General features: G+C 40.1%; 1 protein-coding gene across 1 annotated transcript in view, besides 2 other annotated features; it reads right to left on the bottom strand.

The window, feature by feature from the left end:
• The window catches only part of TOP1 (DNA topoisomerase I), a 95,666-nt gene that overhangs the window by 64,290 nt on the left and 11,398 nt on the right, over window positions 1-19,978 (bottom strand). The window lies entirely within an intron of this gene.
• Window positions 1,279-2,478: an enhancer, noted in NCBI's record as "P300/CBP strongly-dependent group 1 enhancer chr20:39686360-39687559 (GRCh37/hg19 assembly coordinates)". NCBI's record gives its function as "activates an origin of replication core promoter dependent on BRD2, BRD4, P300/CBP, MED14 and CDK7 cofactors, with strong dependence on P300/CBP, by STARR-seq in HCT116 cells {active_cell/tissue: HCT116}" and the evidence as "EXISTENCE:reporter gene assay evidence [ECO:0000049][PMID:35650434]".
• Window positions 6,775-7,069: a silencer, noted in NCBI's record as "tiled region #14849; HepG2 Repressive non-DNase unmatched - State 14:Gen5'". NCBI's record gives its function as "represses a minimal TATA promoter and a strong SV40 promoter by Sharpr-MPRA in HepG2 cells {active_cell/tissue: HepG2}" and the evidence as "EXISTENCE:reporter gene assay evidence [ECO:0000049][PMID:27701403]".

Here is a 19,978-nt window from a genome sequence, read left to right as displayed (position 1 = left end):
TTCTATAGACATGTTTTCATTTCTCTTGGGTACATACTTAGGAGAAAAGTTACTGGGTAATATAAAAAATGTATGTTTAACTTTACAGGAAATTGCCAAATTGTACCATTGTATATCTCCATCAAAAATTCATTAGCATTCCAATTGCTACAAATTTTCACCAATATCTGCTATCAGTCTTTAATTTTAGCCATTCTAGCACGTGTGGAGTGGTACCTCACTGTGGTTTCAATTCACATATTTCTGATGATTAAATGATGTTTAATGACAAGCATCTTTTGGTGTGCTTGTTGGCCTCTCATATACCTTCTTTGGTGAAGTATCTGCTCAAATCTTTCTTGGTCTTCTTACTACCTAGTTGTAAGAGCTCTTTATACATTCTGGATTACCAATTTTTTGTTAGCTATACGAACTGTGAATATTTTCTCCCCATCATTTTCTTGTTTTTATTTCTTAATGGTGTCTTTCAAAGAGCAAAAGTTTTAAATTTTGATCAAGTCCACTTCATCAATTTTCTCTTTTAGGGTCTGTATGTTTTGTGCCCCAAGATATCGTTGCCTACTCAAGGGCTACACAGATTTTCTCTCTCTCTCTTTTGCAGGGAAAGGCAGGGAAAGAGTCTCATTTTCTTATATCACGATGTTACGCAGGCTCCTCTCGAACTCCTGGGCTCAAGCAATCCTCCTGCCACAGCCCTTGGAATGGCTGGGATTACAAGGGCATATCACCACCACCACCTTATTTATTTATTTATTTATTTATTTATTTATTTATTTATTTATTTATTTTCTAGCAGTTTTGCAGAGTTAAGGGCCAGTGTTCATTTTTTTCTAATCAATAAAGACGTCAAGTTGTTCTAACACCATTTTTTTTTAACTTTTAAGTTCAGGGGTATATGTGCAGGTTTGTTATATAGGTAAACTCGTGTCATGGAGGTTTGTTGTACAGATTATTTCATCACCCAGGAATTAAGCCTAGTACCCACTAATTATGTTTCCTGATTTTCTCCCTCCTCTCACCCTCCACCCTCCAAAAGGCCCCTGTATCTGCTGTTCCCCTACATGTGTCCATGTGTTCTCATCATTTAGCTCCCACTTATAAGTGAGAACATGCAATACTTGGTTTTCTGTTCCTCTGTTACGTTTGCTAAGGGTAATGGCCTCTAGTTCCATCCATGTTCCTGCAAAGGACACAATCTCGTTCTTCTTATGGCTGCACAGTATTCCGTGGTGTACATGCGCCACATTCTTTTTTTTAATCCAGTCTACCATTAATGAAAATTGAGGTTGATTCCATGTTTCTGCTACTGTGAATAGCCTAGCATTATTTTTTAAAAGATGGCCCTTTCCCCATTAAATTGTCTTGGCGTTTTCGAGCGGTCATATAATTATAGGTCTATTTCCGGACCCTCTATTCTAACCTTACACAAACACAATCTTGACTATAAGATTGTTTGTTACTCCGCTTTTCAAGAGGTATAGCCTAATTCCCCTCCCCTTGAGTGTGGGCTGGACACTGTGACTCACTCCTAACAAACAAGATGAAGTGGAATTGTGAGGGGGCAACTTCCGACACTAGGCCATAAAAGGTATTAGATCTTCCTTCCTGCTCTCTCCTTGCTCTGGGGGAGGCCAGTGACACACTGTCATGTACTCACTCAGAAGCCCTCTGGAAAGGCCCATGTAGTAAGAAACTTAAGCTTCCTGCCAATTAGCCATGTGAATGAGCCATCCTGGAAGTGGACCTTCTAGCCTAAATTAAGTTTTCAAATGACTGCAGCCCTGGCTGACATACTGACTGCAATCTACAGATGGTAAGCCAAAGCCACCCAGATAAACTATGTCTGGATTCCTGACTCACAGGAACTACATGAGAAAATAAGTGTCTGTTGTTTTAAGCTATTATATTTTGAGGCAACATGTTTTATAGCAATCAATTAATAATGCATAGGCAATGTGTCTTCATCCCATGACTGGCTCACAGCAAAAGAAGCCACATGTGTCATAATCTGCTGAGCATCTATTCTGTGTCAGGCCCTGGGAAAATAGAAATCTGCATGACCGTAGTACTAACTGTAAGAAATTCCCATCCTACAGAGATGGGAAAAATAATATCATATGGTGTCAGAAGTAGGATTTGAACTCAATCTTCCATGCAGCATACAGAACCCTTCAGCTTCTTCTAAAAACCTCGAGTCTATAATTTTAAAATGCTAAGTTGATTCCCACAAGGTTAGTGGCCCCAGTTTACTTGACAGCAATATCCCACTACTTCTGCCTCAAACCAAACACTTATGGCTAAAATCATAATAATGACAATACATGTAATAGCACCACAATCTGGAATAAAGCATGTGTGTCAATTAATTTTGTTTGCAGGCCAGATGCAATAAACAAGCTTCAGAACATCAAGATCTGCTAATACAGCCCTAGAGTATGGAAAGGACATCACATTAAAAAAAACTACTCTGTGTATAATTCAACAAACGCATAAATACATATGAAGAAGACTGGAATACAGACATCAAAATATTAAAAGCAGTTATCTTAGGGTAGTCAATTTATGAGTAACTTGAGTTTTTGTGCATATACTTCATCTTGTTTTCTAGTTTTCCCCACAATTACTTTTATAGTAAAAAATGGACCAAGCTTTAAAAATTTATCTTGACAAATACTAGTGTACATAGGAAAATTTGCTTAAATCACTAAAAAGCTCTAAACTTAAAAAGGAAATTAAGTAAAGGATAAATTGAAAGTAATTCCAGGCAGGTTTCAGATAACAGTCTGCCAATAACTTTTTTTTTTTTATTTTTTTTGGAGACAGAGTCTCACTCTGTCACCCAGGCTGGAGTGCAGTGGTGTGATCTCGGCTCACTGCAACCTCAGCCTCCCGGGTTCAAGCAATTCTCCTGCCTCAGCCTCCTGAGTAGCTGAGACTACAGGTGCACTCTGTCACCCAGGCTGGAGTGCAGTGGTGTGATCTCGGCTCACTGCAACCTCAGCCTCCCGGGTTCAAGCAATTCTCCTGCCTCAGCCTCCCGAGTAGCTGAGACTACAGGTGCATGCCGCCATGCCCGGCTAATTTTTTGTATTTTAGTAGAGATGGGGTTTCACCGTGTTGCCGAGGCTGGTCTCGAACTCCTGAGCTCAGGCAATCCATCTGCCTCAGCCTCCCAAAGTCTGGTGCTGGGATCACAGGCGTGAGCCACTGCGCCCGGCCACATTTTTTTTTTAATGCACAAAATTTCAAAATTGATTTTAAGCCAGGTCCCCAAGTTTTTTAAAGCAACTGCTGTCTAAAAATGCAAATCAAAAATGTCTGGTGAGAAACTCGGGGCTGTGGCTCATTAATCTCATTGATACAAATAAGACCTAGGTCAAAGATCTGAACCCCAAGTATTCCTATTTTAAAGGAATGGCTGAGCACGGTGGCTCATGTTTACAATCCCAACACTTTGGGAGGCCAAGGTGGGAGGCTTACTTGAGGCCAGGAGTTTGAGACCAGCCTGGGCAACATAGCAAGACCTTGTCTCTACGAAAACTGTTTAAAAAATTAATTGGGCATCTTGGTGCACCTGTAATACTGGCTGCTCTGAGGGTGAGGTGGGAAGACTGCTTGGGCACAGGAGTTCAAGGATGGAGCTATGATTACATCACCACACTCCACTTGGGCTACAGAGCAAGACCCTCTCTCTAAAACACAAATAAAAGTTATTACATGTGCTATGTGTGCTGTGAAAGGTGTGTCAAAAAGTGTATTACATGGCAACTTCTTCAAATATCTTAATGACTATTATATTGTATTATATAAATTTACTCAGTAAATTTGTAATTTCTGAGTAAATATAAATTTATATTACTGCTGAGAAATGATAGGGAGGCAAATTGAGGTCAGTACAAAAGAACTAACCACTAAAAGAATGGGATGCCTTCTGAACGCCAAAAGCATTTAAACAAACTAAATAACCAACTGAAAGGGAAACTGTAGAGATATTCTGCAGTAGGTAAACTGACAGATTAAAGAATCTCTAAAGATGAATACTGAAGTACTTCCATGTAAGCGATGCCTGGAATTTGCTTATAATACTCTCTGGTGGTGGTGGTTGGGGGAGCACCAAGGGATACGGGGATAGACAAAATTCAACTGGCAAAAGGTTGGTAATTACTGAAGCTGAGTGACAGACACATGGGAGTTCATTATATTTCTCTATGTGTATGCTTGAAACTTTTCATAAGTTAAACATTATCTTTAAGCTTCTTCCTTTCCAACCCTTCATTTTTGTGTTATTATGTGAGGGCATGGCAAGAAGACTGGCCTAGTTCCAAGAGAGGGTTTGTGTTAAGGCATAGTAAGAGATAAAAGTAAAAGCAAAATAAATAGTTAGAGGTTTCTGAAGCAATCTACAAAAAAAGTGACAGCAAAGGAACTAAGAAGGAAGGAAAAAATGTAAAAGCACATTTGGGAAAATGGAAGTAGAACCCAGTTCCAGGAACTCACTACTATGTGTAATAAATGCAGTGTAATAAAGAGTCAGAGAAAGTCTTTACGTCCAGGTGACTGGGGGAACAAGGGGCCTTGGCAAAAACAAGAAACTTGTACAGAATAAAGATGGTGAAAAATACTGGAGAAATGATGGACCAGCCTGAGCCATATTGTATCTAAGGTAACAGTGGGACATCTGACTAAAGATGTTGGTCAGAAGAGATGCCAGTAAGTGAAAAAGTAAAGCCAATAAGGGCACACAGATCTACATCCCTCGTGGTGAAAACATGTGTTTGGAGAGAACATACTGTGGCCTTGAAGATTACTTTCAGCACATACCTTTTCCCCTTAACTGGAATTCATCTACTAGTGTTATTTAAAATGTTTTAGAGGAAGGACCCTGCCACTTCAAGCACCTGTTAAGTGCAAAAAGAAATGTGTTGAATTTAACTGACAGATATGAAAGATGCAAACCAGTGCACATTAAATCATCAGAAAACCTAATTCACTGTGAATTCAGGCCAACTAATGCTTTCTAGTAACAAATATTTTAATTCCTAGTGAAAATTCTAGATGAAGACATGGGAGGAAGCCCCCTGCAATAAAGCAATCTTGATAAAACAGAAGACTTATGGCAACTAACTCCTTTCACTGTAATTTAACTGGAGTTACTCCCTAAGGACAGATAAGTTAAACAGATAGAACAGGAATCAACATCTTTTGCTATTGTTACCTAACGTATTCCCTGGGGTTTAAAAAGCTTTTAAGTAAAGAAGCTTCCGACAGACAAAAGGAAAGTGTCTCTGTCTTTTCCTACTGTAGGAATAGATGTTAGGTAGCATTACACAGGAGTTGAGGGCTAATGTGTAAAAAAAAGAAAGAAAAAAAAGAAATCCTTTTCCTACTGTTTCAGAAATATATTCTGAAGACTAATTCAATTTAAAACCAAATATATTCAAGTCCAAAGCTTCCTGCTAAAGACTCACCAGACAAGGACTCTGCCCTCAAGGAGTTTACAATCCATTAAGGTAATTAAGATATAATCTCAAGTAGCTGGCTGCCCAAGGCACACAAGAGAAAAGGGCACTAATACGGGTGCCAGCACCATGCTAGCGTGCTTTCAAACACTATCTCAACTCAAGTTTCTTACCACTCTTACGATAGAGAAATAGTCCCAGTTCACAAAAGATAATAATGGGTATCTAGGTATCTGTATTAGTCCATTCTCACGCTGCTAATAAAGACATACCCAAGACTGGGTAATTTATAAAGAGGTTTAATTGACTCACAGTTCTGCAGAGCTGGGAAGGCCTCAGGAAACTTACAATCATGGTGGAAGGGGAAGCAAACACGTCCTTCTTCAAATGATGGCAGCAAGGAGAAGTGTGAAGCAAAGTGGGGCAGGTGCGGGGGCGGGGTGGGGAAGCCCCTTATAAAACCATCGGACCTCATGAGAACTCACTATCACAAGAACAGCATGGAGGTAACTGCCCGGGTGATTCAATCACCTCCCACCGGGTCCCTCCCACAACACAGGAAGATTATGAGAGCTACAATTCAACATGAGATTTGGGTGGGGACACAGCCAAACCATATCAGTATCCTTTACTAAATGTATATTTTGTGCAAGGCAGTATTACATATATCACCTCTAAGTTTCACAACTCTGGGTGGTAACGATTTCCTCAAATCTAAGATACTTTTTGCCTCATTTTACCATCTCTGAAAATAAGGTGCATCTAGTTGGTATAACCCCCATGAAGGAAGAATTTGGCAAAATCAAACAAACTCACACACTCCCTCTTTAAACCCAGCAATCCCATGCCTAACAATTCAGCCTGAAAAAACACTCCAAGGTGTATCTAGAGAAATAAGTGGATGACAACAAAGTTAAGAGGCAGTATTTTTAATAAGTGACAGGGAAACAAAGGAGGCAGAATGTAGAATGGCAGATCAATGGAATAGCAAAAGGGTTAAGAAAAAATGTTTTAGGAAACATTTGAAACTCAAATTTTCGAACGTCAATTAACATTAAAGTAACAGTTTCTATCGCATCATAATGCTCCTGTATTTAGAAACTATACAAACTCTTTATAAAGGTAATAGACATTTTCCAAATGAAGCATGTGGGCACCATTACTTCCACATCTCTTACATGATAGCAAGATTTTCTATTTTTCTGCTGTGCTGCTATTTTTCAGTAAGCGCAGTAAGGCAGTAAGATTGCTTAATTTATGGGCATTTTGGGGGAAAAAAAGTCTAAGAGTAAAAATACTGAATCTAGGTTAACTGCCTCCTTGTTTCAAAGTGAAGAGTAATATAATGAGATAAAACAGCCCGGTTCCACCAGCGAACAAGATGAAATAAAAACCCTGGATCCAAGAGTGGCAGTTAGGAGTTAACATAGGCTTCCTGGAGGATGCAGTTTGAGCCAAGTCTTACTGAAAGCTAAGAGGGAGTTGGCAAGACAAAGGAAGGTGAAAGGGCATTCTTGGTGGATGTGCTACGCTGCAGCAAGAAATGAGTTGCAACAGCCAGCTATTACTATCATTGCTGAAAAATTCATCCTCTCCTGAATGAGCAAAATTAAGTGAGACATACTTCTCCCAGCTAGGAAATGGGAGAGTTGACTGTTTTCAGGAGCATATTAAAAAATAAAATCCCAGAGTTATGTTTATCTCCCTAAAGTCATGTGTCCAAAACAGAGTTTTTTTTTGTTGTTTGTTTAGACAGAGTCTCACTCTACTGTCCAGGCTGGAGTGCAGTGGTGCAATCTCAGCTCCCTGCAACCTCCGCCTCCCAGGTTCAAGAGATTCTCCTGCCTCAGGCTCCCGAGTAGCTGGGATTACAGGTGCATACCATCATGGCCAGCTAATTTTTGTATTTTTGTAGAGATAGGGTTTCAGCATGTTTACCAGGCTGGTCTCGAACTCCTGACCTCAAGTGATATACCTGCCTTGGCCTCCCAAAGTGCTGGGATTACAGGAGTGAGCCACCATGCCTGGTCCTTTTTTTTTCTTTTAAAAAAGTTATAGATATACTCTAACTTCTTGTAACTCTAGAGTCCTAGTTCTCTGCTTAGATAGAAAGGAAACAAAATATACAGGAATAAGAAACTCAGTATCAAATGAATCCAACAAAATTTGATCCAACTGTTAAAAAGTTCCTGAAAGCTGGCCTAAACCCAAAATGACAATGAAGCTGCAGATATGGAAACCAAGTACAAGGTCAACCCCAAGTGGCCAAATCAATGTCACATCAGGCATATATAAGATAAAAAGTTCATTCTCCATAGGGAAAACAGACAAATACACAAATTACATGAGGGGAAGAAATAACCAAGTCTGTAAAATACTTTGATAAACATGTTCAAACATGATGAGCACAAAAGACCATGACCAAACCCTAATGTGATAGAGGCACTGCAGAGCAGCACAGAGGTCCCCTTTAGGGACCTCTGAAGGAAGCTGGAGAAAGCAGACCAGTGCAACAGTGAAAAATATCTTATTCAAAATCCTTGTTCTATCACTCAGTGTATGACCTTGGGTAAAAGTCACTTAACTACTAGATCTATGAGAAGGTAGCATAAATCAGTGGTAAAGAGCTTCAAATCTCTGTCCATCATGTACTAGATACCCATGACCTTAGTAAATTTGCTTATCTTACAGATGAAGAAACTTGGGCTCAGAAAATTTCAGTGATTTTAAAGAATTTTATTTTGAAAGTCAATCAATATTTGTGTGTAGTTGTAACAGAATTCCTGGCTAATCTCCAAGAAATTATAAACATGTTAACAACTGTCAATGCGGTACAACCATTCCTAAACCTTCTCCTTGATTAATTTACATAGAACTGAAGTCAGCCTACTCAATCATTTCATACAACTTAGCTCAGGTTGTATATGTGCATTTGAGGCAGCAACCATACCCATTCACAATGCCCACCGAGCCAACAACTGAGAAATGCTGTCTGATTTTCCTTCCTATACTGAGATCCAGGAAAGAAAAGCACTTATGAAAAAGGAAGTAAACTGTGGCCTACTCTAACAACCCTGGTACCCGGAAGCCTAACGAACTTACAGGTTTTAAGGAAGGCACTGTTAACGCCATAGCATTCCCCATGCAGAAGCACATATGCCTGTTTAGCTGTGGTCAGCAGGTGGCTAACAGTGTTGCCAATCTTATTCTATCTGGTGTCTCTAAACTCAATCCAAGCAAAAACATTTACTCTTTCTTAAGGGAGAAAAGGATAAGTCATCAGCACAGAATACTGACTGTTTTATCAACTATTCCATGATCTTAAAGCTTTTAGGGTAATCAGATCAGGGCAGGAAGAAGAGTCCTTTGCTGCCTTATAAGCAAAGGCAGAGAGCTTTCTGATATAAAGGAGACTCTTTGCCATGTTTTGAGCCAGTCCCCTTTACACTGCCTTTTGATGATAGATTTGAGACTTAGGGCAGCTGTATAATATGATGGGCTCCTCCTTCAAAGATAATCATCAAGTCAAGTGTATGGGGAATGGAGGTGTGGCATAGTTACACAATCAAAACCTACCTTCTCCAAAAAGACACTCACAATATAACTTCTGTCAAAGATAATCTCTGCTCTTCTCTGACATACAAATATACAACTAGCGCATAAGGAAAGTGAACACTAGAACCACTTGAGTGAACACAATGGGTGAATAAATTATTTAAAGAAAATATTTATCACCTCATTATTAAAACTCTTGTACTGGGGCAAACCCTTACATCTTCTACTTCCTCCCTGACTTTCAAACCCATATCACATCCCCAAAAGCAGAAGTTTTAAAAAAATCAACATTCTCTTTAACACTCTATACCCAGTATGTTCTAATACTTTTAAAAGAAGATGGCTTCTGTCTAGGACAGATAACAAGCTGGTCTTGAGTGATAAAAAACTGGCATCCAGGAGTGCAGTAAATATCAGGGGTGTGTGAATCTCCCAGGAACTTAATGCAAAACTAAAGGCAGTGAAAAAGCCTGAAAACTTGTCATCATTAAAAGGGGAATGGTTGAGGAGTAAAAACAAGTATTCCCCAACTGTTAGGGGAGAGGGAAGGGCATATTTCTTTTTACTCCTCAAATTCAGACTATACCAACGTTGGTCCAGTTTCAATCCAGGACACCCTGTCTGTGAGCCATCTTAATGGTGGCTGGTTTCAATTTGTAGCCTACAGAAGAGTCCTTATCACTACTTTACAGCAATTCTCAAGGAGAACATTTCCAAAATTCCAGGGCATAGTTAACAGCCTTTCAAAGTAAGCAGGACAGAGACTGTTTCTGGCTAAAGGCCCAAAGAGCTCTGGAATTCAAAAGGAAAGAAAACTGCTGGGAGGATTCAGCTCTAAAGAAACCCTTAAAAAACTGATGAATGAGGGCTGGGAGCAGTGGCTCATGCCTGTAATCCCAGCACTTTGGGAGGCCAAGGCAGGTGGATCACCTGAGTTCAGGAGTTCAAGACCAGCCTGACCAACACGGTGAAAGCCCATCTCTACTAAAAAATACAAAAATTAGCCGGGCATGGTGATGCACACCTGTAATCCCAGCTACTTGGGAGGCTGAGGCAGGAGAATCACTTGAACCCGGAGGCGGAGGTTGCAGTGAGCCAAGATCGTGCCATTGCACTCCAGCCTAAGCAACAAGAGTGAAACTCTGCCTCAACATAAAACAAAACAAAAGAATGAGAGAAGAGACTAGTAACATTTCCAATTTTTAAAGTCCACATGACCATTTATTCTCCCTAAATGTGTATTGCATATAAACAAGAATTTTTGTCATGGACCTGTTCATCATTGAAACTATGGGATTCCCCTGTTAGGGACCTCAACTTGAAAGCTAACAAAACAAACAAAAAAAAAATCTCTAGCTAAGAAGATGGCAGACAAGTATAAATAGTTCTTCTGTCCTTAAGGAAGTTGGGATTCACAATATTCATTTGTTCAAGTATTTACTGAGTGCCACTTAAGTGTTGAAATACAACTCAGCCCCAAAACTGAGTCCCTGCCCTCATCAAGTTTCATAATAAGCATAATACCCACCTGACCGCGCCATCCCAACAGTAGCAGCTGCTGACTGAGTAACTTTGAAAAGGGAGAGGGAAAGGGTCCCCCTAACTGCCCAAGTTTCACTGGACTTGCCTCCATGAAGTTCCAGAATCAGCCTCTAATGTTACCGTTGGAAAAGACCCTCATAAGAAGTTACAAAGACCAAGTTCAAGACAGGGTCAAACTGAATTAAATGAAAGTTGCCAATTATTTTGCAAAGTGTGGTCTTTCTTTTCAATATTCAAAACTTGGGGAAATACCATCGGAAACTTAGAAGTGCACTGCATTAAAAGACTCAGAGTTGCTCAAAGACCCAATTTTGTTATCACCTCTGCAACACAACTTCAAATTTCTAAAACCTGTCACTACAATTTCCAAAGTGCCCAAGTGTTCAGAAGAAATGCCACAAACTGACTTAAAAACACTTCAAGAATTAGGTTCTTAAACATCAGCAGCTGTGTGAGATTAGTGGTCAGCTATTATCCTTAAAGGCTTTGCCATGGAAAAGACACACAAGAAGGAGGCTATTCGTCTACTTTACGCCTCAAACTGACACACACACAAAAGGGTTAAATGATCAGAGAATGTTTTCTCTTCCAGGCCACTTCCGCATTTAAATTTCTTTTATGGCTTTACAACACCACAATTACCTTAATCTGTCTCTCCACAACCCCTTCCTGTCTTATTTTACAACCTTCTCTCCTTACCTTAATCTGTCTCTCCACAACCACTGTCTTATTTTACAGCCTTCTTTCCCATCCCACTCCTTCCATTATGGTCCTTAAATTCAAGTTCATCTTCTTATCTTCCTCTGGTTCTCATTTCCAGGGACCAATTAATTATATTTAAAAATCAAAAAAATAATTCAGACTTCAGTGATAGGACCGACAAACTGTCTTTCAGAGAAGTATGTTACTTGATCTACAAGAAGGTCTTCTGATCTGGAGATTCTAGGCGCAATTAGAGCCAGAACAGACTGTTCATTGTTTTATTATTATGCCAAAAACTAAGTGACAGATTTAAAAGTCAATTTCACTTTCTAATAGTAAGAAGACACGCTTAGAGCAACTCCTTTAATGCAATGTCCTGGTGGGGTTTTAGATAACTTATTTCTCAGCTTTGGGTCTCAGTTTTCTGATCTATAAAATGACCTTTATTGACCCCTTACGTCTGGTCACATGAATTCTATGAATTTTAAAAATTGTCTTGGCCCATGTGGATTTAGGTAAAAGGAAAATTTTAAATGCTTGAGTGCAGTGGTTCTCAAGTATTCCTGTGTATAAGCCCTGGTACTTGGAATCATCCTCAGATATTTTAACACAAGCTCTCCAGGTAACTATAATCCACTGTCCAGAACCATATTTTGAAGAAACCCTGCATTATTATTTCTTATTCCTGAGTCTTCTGAGCAATATTAATAGCAAATACGAGCCACCTACAAAAATTCATGTGCTGCTGATTTTATTTTCAGTTTCTATTCCAATTGGGTCTCTCTGTTCCTTTAAAAGGCAGGCATGTGCTGAGTCAGCCTCTGGGGAATTTTTTTTTTTTTTTTTTAATTTATAGCCTAGACTATTGAGTCTCTACAATTGAGGAAGAAAGAGGTTGTTCTCACCTGCTACTCTTCCAACCCCTATTTGAAAGGAAGAAGGAAAAGCTACTTAAGGGGTGGCACAGCTACTCTAACTTAGATAATAAGGAGGGGGTTAGTCAAGCTCTTTAAAATAGAAGTTTTCTTCGTTGTCTGGACGCTAATGGGTGGAGTCATGCTTAGACAGAGACAGGTAACTGAGTCCTGCCAGTGGGGCTCAGATGCCTTTGGGAGCTAGAGGCTACATACCAAGAGTCCTGGTGAGCTTCCTGTGATACACACAAGCACATTCAATCAGGTCAGCAAACTTTTTCTGTGAAGGGCCAGGTACTAAATACACCTTGTAGCCCATTCAAGTTCCACTGCAAGTATTCAATTCTGCCACAGTAGCACAAAAACTACCACAGATTACATGTAAATGAATGAGCATGGCCACATTCTAGTGAACTTTATTTATGGACACTGGAATTTGTATTTCAAATGATTTTCCTGTGTCATGAAGTAATACTCTCCTTTCAATTTTTTTCCTCCAACTACATTCTGAGAAATGTGTCATTAGGCGATTTTGTCATGCAAACATCATAGTGTGCTTACACAAACCTAGATGGTATAGCCTACTACCGCCTAGGCTATATGGTATAGCCTGTTGCTCCTAGGCTACAAACCTGTACAGCATGTTACAGTACTGTAGGAAACTGTAACACAGTGTTAAGTATTTGTGTATCTGAACGTATCTGCAACACAGAAAAGAGGCAGTAAAAATACCACCTTCTATCTTATGGGACCATCATTATATAAGTGGTCTATTGTTGACAGAAATCTTGTTATGTGGCACATGCCTAAATTTAAAAATACAAAACCATTCTTAGTTCGTGGACCACACAAAAGCAGGTGTAGTTTGCAGAACACTGCGCTAGTACTAACTAGAAAGTATCCGCAATGTCTCCTGTAGAAAGGTGTCTTACTCAAGCTCAGGGTCTAAATGAAGAATATCCTCCCTGACTTACCTACAACTCCCGTCTAACACACCTCAGCTTTCTGCTAACTTGTTCTCGTCTCTCTTCTCTCCCTGCACACAGCTCATGAATGGCCAATCAACTTGACTTGAAAGTGGTTAAAATCTACCTCACTCTGCAAAACTAAGTGAGTCACATGAGAACTCTGAAGAGAGGCCAATGACTGGCCCACTGCTAATTCTGCTTCTTAAGCAGCAAGCTGGTTAAATTTGTTATTTATTCCCCTTGAAGTGGGAACAACATCATACTTGTTCACAAAATGCTAACCACCTCTGATGAAATTCCTTAGTAAATAAGCAGACTTCAGGAACCCTTATAAAATAAGGTTTCTAGTTAATCCTTAGTTAACAAAAAGATCCTTTTTCTTGAATACTCAAATAGGTTTTACTGATTTCTGGAACAACTGGGTCCAAGCACAAGCTGAACTGCTAAAAAATAAACTATCCAGGGGGCTTTGCTGCAAAGGCAAGCAAGCTTCCCTTAATAGGGAAAGAATTACATTAAAGTGCAGCAGAGCCTGCATTTAGTCTGTTAAGGACACATCATAAGTGAAGAGATGGGCGCCCCCAGTCTGATGGGTAATTCCACCACAGCCCAGAATTCTCAGGAGGCAACTAAGTCACCCCAGGTCCCCCTTTACCTTGTTTTGTATCACAACTAAGAACTCAGGCTGTGGCATGAGGTAGGCCTAGATTAGCCTCCCTGCTCTGTGGCTTAGTTATAACTATATAGCCTTGAGCTAGTTACTTTACTTAAACCGTGAGATTCAATTTCTTCAAAAGTAAACTGGCCCAGTGAACATTACTGGAAATAGTAATGTTAACTACCTCAGGATTGATAAATGAAAGCTTAGAATTCTTAAGACGCTGCCTAGGGCATTAAAAATGTTCAAATATCAGCTATTTATTTCATTCCTATTCATTTTCTCCTTGCATCCCACGAAAACTGATCACAACTTGAAGCTAAACCTGGAGGAATCTGGATCTATTCCCAGTCCTTAAGCAATTTACTCAAGTTGGTATCTAAGACCTTATATGACAGTGGTCCTCATAGTGGTCAAAGCTACAATCGGATTTTGTTCCATCAGACTAATATATGTCTAGCTAACTGTGAGCCAGATTACTTATAAGATGCAGCCTACACTGGTCATGAGCGTGCAAGTGAGAAGATAACCCCAGATGGCATACAGCAGCTGAGTTCTGATCTGCTTTTACTATAAGCAACACCTTGCATGAATTAGCCTCTTGGGTGCTATTTGGTAGTCTACAATCTTTGATTCTCTACCACTTATAGTAGGATATTGACTTATTACTGATAACAATTTAACAAATAGAAATAAATTACCTTCTTGTTATAGGCAACATGCTAGAAACTTACAATTTCAAATGAAGTTGTGGGATAAAACTAACCATTTTAAAGGCTACTAATCCATAAAGGTGTACATAAATATAAGTTCATCTGTTTTGTCAACTACGCAACAGACATAACCTACCTCATAGGGTTGCTGAGATAAAATGAGAACTTACTTCATCCAAAGGACCTGAAATTTTCACCTGTTTAGCTCTAAGGGGTCAAATAAAACGTACAACTGCCTGAACTTCCAACTGCTTTGGTAAACACAACTTTACTTACCAGTTGTAAGTCCTCTTAGGACTTACAATGTCAGTCAGGATAAAACAATGTAGACATACTGAAGGAAGGCTGTTATTCAAACTCATAACATCAAATTCACACGTGTCTTTGGATTTTTAAATTCCAAGAGCCCCAATCACTCATATTCCAAGCAGAATCTAAACCACAATCTCTTGGGTCTTACCTAAATTTTATCTAGAGCTGTCCAATATGGTAGCCACTATTGGCTAGTTTATATTTAAATTAAAATAAAATAAAATAAAATAATTAAGTTCTTTGGTCCCACTTACCACATATTTCAAGGGGGCTCAAAACCTCATATAGGCCAGGTGCAGTGGCTCATGCTTGTAATCCCAGCACTTTGGGAGGCTGAGGCAGGTGAATCACTAGAGGCCAGGAGTTTGACACAAACCTGGTCAACATGGCAAAACCCCGTCTCTACTAAATACAAAAAAACTGGCTGAGCGTGGTGGCCCACGCCTGTAATCCTAGCTATCGGGAGGCTGAGGGTCGAATCACCTGAGCCTGGGAGGCAGAGGCTGCAGTAAGCTGAGATCGCGCCACTGCACTCCAGCCTGAATGACAGAGCAAGACTCTTGTCTCTCTCTCTCTCTCTCACTCACACACACACAGACACACCTCATATGGCTAATAGCTACCATATTGGACAGCACAAATATAGGACATTTCCATCATGACAAAAAGTTCTACTGGATGAAATTATCCAGGAAAATACTCTGCTTCCTAGCACTCTCCACTCTGCCTATTGCAGCCCAGTCAAGGACTTTTCCCTACATGGTACTGCACTATTCTGTGTGGTTCCCAGGCCTGGCTAAGCTGGCTATCTCAAAGCAGCCTGCTTCTGCACAGAACCTCTGGAGAATCAGGCCCTCAATGAACACCTGCCCAGAAAACATTTCAACTGAAGTTATTAGTCTGCCGAAGCATAAGACAAAACTGAGATAGAGCAATTATTTTAAGCTTCGGGAGCAGGGCAAACAAATCCCATTTTTACTAACTACCTTTGCTCTCTTAATAGAAGACAACACTGGAATTTTTTTACTTATCTCTGAAAGTAATTAACTAGTACAAGACCCTTAAGATGGGCAATTGCATTTCTTTTTTTCTTTTTTTTGAGAAGGAGTTTTGCTCTTGTTGCCCTGCTGGAGTGCAATGGCATGATCTTGGCTCACTGCAACCTCCGCCTCCAGGGTTCAAGCGATTCTCCTGCCTCAGCCTCCCGAGTAGCTGGGATTACAGGTGTCTGCCACCACGCCTGGCTAATTTTGTATTTTTAGTAGAGATGGGGTTTCTCCATGTTGGTCAGGCTGGTCTCAAACTCCCGACCTCAGGTGATCCGCCTGCCTCGGCCTCCCAAAGTGCTGGGATTACAGGCGTGAGCCACCACGCCCGGCTGGGCACTTGCATTTCAAATACTGCTCTATAACAAGTCACATTTTCACAAGGACATCCCTGCACTACAAATGCATCTTCTTTCCCAAGAGGCAGAACTTAAAAGGGAAAAAGGACTTGTCTAACCTGAAAATGTATCTTCTCAGGCCAGCTCAATTAGGGCAGGCCCATTCCTGTAGGCTTGTCCTCCTTTGCTTCCATTAAGGAACGCTTAATGCCTGGGAAGAGTGAGAGTGACTACAAACCTCTGGCCTACGTGCGGATCCACAGCTCAGCCTAAACTGCCTTTGTTTCCAATGGTCAGGGGCCTCCAAACACACTAAGACCATACTTTGTCTGGCCATAAAGACTTTAAGTGTGCTGACACATTGTTTCATGTATCCTATTACTAATTCAACCAAGGGACCTTCTTTGTCTAGACAATTCTCATTGACAGGGCTTGAAATGCGCAGGCCATTCTCTGGGCCACTAGCTGTAGAAAGAATAAGACTGAACACACCTCTCCTACTGAAGTGGCATATATTCAGTAGAAATACAAGAAACCTTTCTGGTGTTAATCATATAACTGCTCCTTAAATTTTTTTATACTCCAGAAGATCCTCCCCCGATTATGAATTACTCCAACTTCACAACTGTAAGAAAGCACAAGTAATGAACTCCATACATGGTTCCTTGTGAAAGAACAAGGAATACTGCTTAAGAGGTTGAATTACTACAAAACTGGTATCTTGCTCTATTCTATTGGTTCTGAAACTTCAGTGCACATCTGATCACCTGGTAGACACTCATTAAAACCCAAATGGCTAAGACCCTACTCCCAGAGTTTAAGAGTCAGTAGGTATGGGTGAGGCCCGAGAATCTGCATGTCCAACAAGTTTTCAAACAATGCAGTTCTGCTGATCAGGAAACCACACATTGAGAACCACAGATGACACCTGAACAATATGTGTTTGAAATGCTTGAGTCCACTTACATGAGGGTTTTCTTTCTCCTCTGCTACTCCTGAGACAGCAAGACCAAACTCTCCTCTTCCCCCTCAGCCTACTCAACAAGACAATGAGGATGAAGGCTTTTATGATGATCCATTTTCACTTAATAAATGGTAAATATATTTTCTCTTCCTTACAATTTTCTTAATATTTCCTTTTCTCTAGCTTACTTTATTGTGAGATCATAGTATATAATACATATAACATACAAAATGTGTGTTAATTGACTGTTTCTGTTATCAGTAAGGCTTCTGGTCAACAGTAGGCTATTAGTTAAGTTTTCGAGGAGTCAAAAGTTATAACTCGAATTTTTGACTGCATAGGAGTCAGCATCCCTAACCCTCGTGTTGTTCAAGCGTCAACTATACTGCTTTATTCAAATGCTTCCATTTCAATCAGTACCATCAGGAGCTGAAGTCCCCAACTAATTTAATCTAAAGGCAGTGAGCTCCACAGACTGGATTTTCAGTATTCCACTAAATTATTCCACTTACTTTCTAAAGTCCTGATTTAACCATCCTAGTATTAGTATGAAAACAAACCCTGCTCATTGTGCTCTGCTTGTCACCCAATCCGAAAAAGTAACATCAGAATTAAATGGCTTGTTAAACACTGAAGTAGGAGAAAGGATTAGGATTCTGACACACAGTAAAACAGCTGCAAAGGCAGTTAACTATATCTGCTATTTGGTAAATGCTCACTGAAAGGTAGAAACTATAACTTAGAGTGAAGTATCAAGCTTTTATAAACATATATTAAAAAATACTGTTCTGGTCCTTTAAAAATATCCTGTAATCTTGGCTGGGCACGGTGGCTCACTACTGTAATCTAAGCACTTTGGGAGGCTGAGGCAGCCGGATCACTTGAGGCCAGAAGTTTGGGACCATCGTGGCCAACATGGCAAAACTCCGTCTCCACTAAAAATACAAAAATTAGCCAGGTGTGGTGGTGGTGTGCCTGTAATCCCAGGTACTCAGGAGGATGAGGCAGGAGAATCGCTTGAACCCAGGAGGTGGGGGTTGCAGCAAGCCCAGATCGTGTCACTGCACCCCAGCCTGGGCGACAAAGGGAGACTCTGTCTCCAAATAATAATAATAATAATCATCATCATCATCATCATCACCCTGTAAGCTTTATACCTTAACCTGTGGAGTATCGTAATTGAATGAAGCAAAATATAGATCTTTAGCCAAATAAGATAGTAAAGTTCAGATAGATCAACTTCTCCAAAGGAGGTTATGGGTCACCTGCATTAGTCAGAATCATTTGGGATTGTTGAAGATACATTAAAAATGCAGATTTTCAGTACCTTCCACTATAGAATCAACTTCAAGGTGTACGAGTAGGAATATGTATTTTCACCAATCATCCCCAGGTGACTTTTAGGCATATCAGCTTGAGAAAAACAAGGAAAACTTACTGTTAAGCTCTCAAAAGTCTCCCACTTGATCTTCAACCAGCTGGGGGGAGAAAGGAGTTTGCACTTCACAACTGAAACATTTGGTAAAAGCATCTGTATTGACCATACAGGATGAAACAGTGCTCTTAATTTTTTTTTTTTTTTTTTTTTTGAGACAGGGTCTCGTTCTGGGGCACAGTAGGGCAAACATGGCTCCCTGCAGCCTCAACCTCCTAGGCTCAACTGATCCTCCTTCCTCAGCCTCCCAAGTAGCTGGGACTGTAGGTGCACACCACCATGCTTGGCTAATTTTTGTTATTTTTTTGTAGAGACGGGGTCCCGACATGTTGCCCAGGCTGCTTTAGAACTCCTGGGCTAAAGCAATTCACCCACTTTGGCCTCCCAAAGTGCTGGCCACTTCTTAATAAGGAAAACACATAAATACAGACTACTACAGAATGAAATATTAAAAGAGGATAACAAAAGCTCAATGCAAGTCAGAGAAAAGTGGTTACACTTCTGGCTTGGGGTTACGTGGTAATGCAGGCAGACTTCCCTAGAAAGGAAATGGAGTATCTGTGACTATGCCATCAATACTCAAACAGGCTCTGAGATGTTTAGAACTCTCAAGGAGTTCACAATACCTAGTGCCTTCCTAAAAATATGTAGTAAAATGGAGAAGTATTGAGTATACCTAGCTAAACCTTATGAAATTCTAAAGACTAAGAGGCATTCATTCATTCCAGGGTATAAGAAATACTACTTAAACAGAACCTAACATGGTCTTTTTTTTTTTTTTTTTTTTTGAGACGATGCCTCGCTGTCTCCCAGGCTGAAGTGCAGTGGTGCCATCTCGGCTCATTGCAACCTCTGCCTCCCAGGTTCAAGTGATTCTCCTGCTTCAGCCTCCTGAGTATCTAGGACTACAGGCATGCGCCACCAGGCCCAGCTAATCTTTTGTATTTTTAGTAGAGATGAGGTTTTTTTTAAAAATCAAATTTCCAATAAATGCACTTCTTAGGGACTTCTCAGTGTGGGGTGCCTGGCCCTGGAGCACTTGTGGTTTGGAAATCAAGTGTAACAAGCCAGTAGTTATAAAGACTAACAAATTTGTGTTCCTTCTCCTCCCTTTCCTCTCCTGGTTAAGTGGAAGCATTAAAAATTAAGAAATAGATCCTGAGCCACAATCAATTCCTAAGAAGCTACTGTTTCTTCATTTCTGGTATTAAATAGTAAGAACTACTTACATTGCATCCATTCCTGCAAAAATGCACTGACTGTATGATTAAGGCACAGTAAGTCTAACATTTTGTCCCGATCACTTTTCTAGTATTCAAACCACTGTAAGTAATACCACTATGTACTCTGCATCTTTCTCTGAAGAGCTTTA

Source organism: Homo sapiens, chromosome 20, assembly GCF_000001405.40.
Source record: "Homo sapiens chromosome 20, GRCh38.p14 Primary Assembly".
In the NCBI taxonomy this organism is placed as follows: domain Eukaryota; kingdom Metazoa; phylum Chordata; class Mammalia; order Primates; family Hominidae; genus Homo; species Homo sapiens.
Note: the sequence above shows the minus strand (reverse complement) of the source record. Positions and strands in the feature narration are given on the sequence as shown.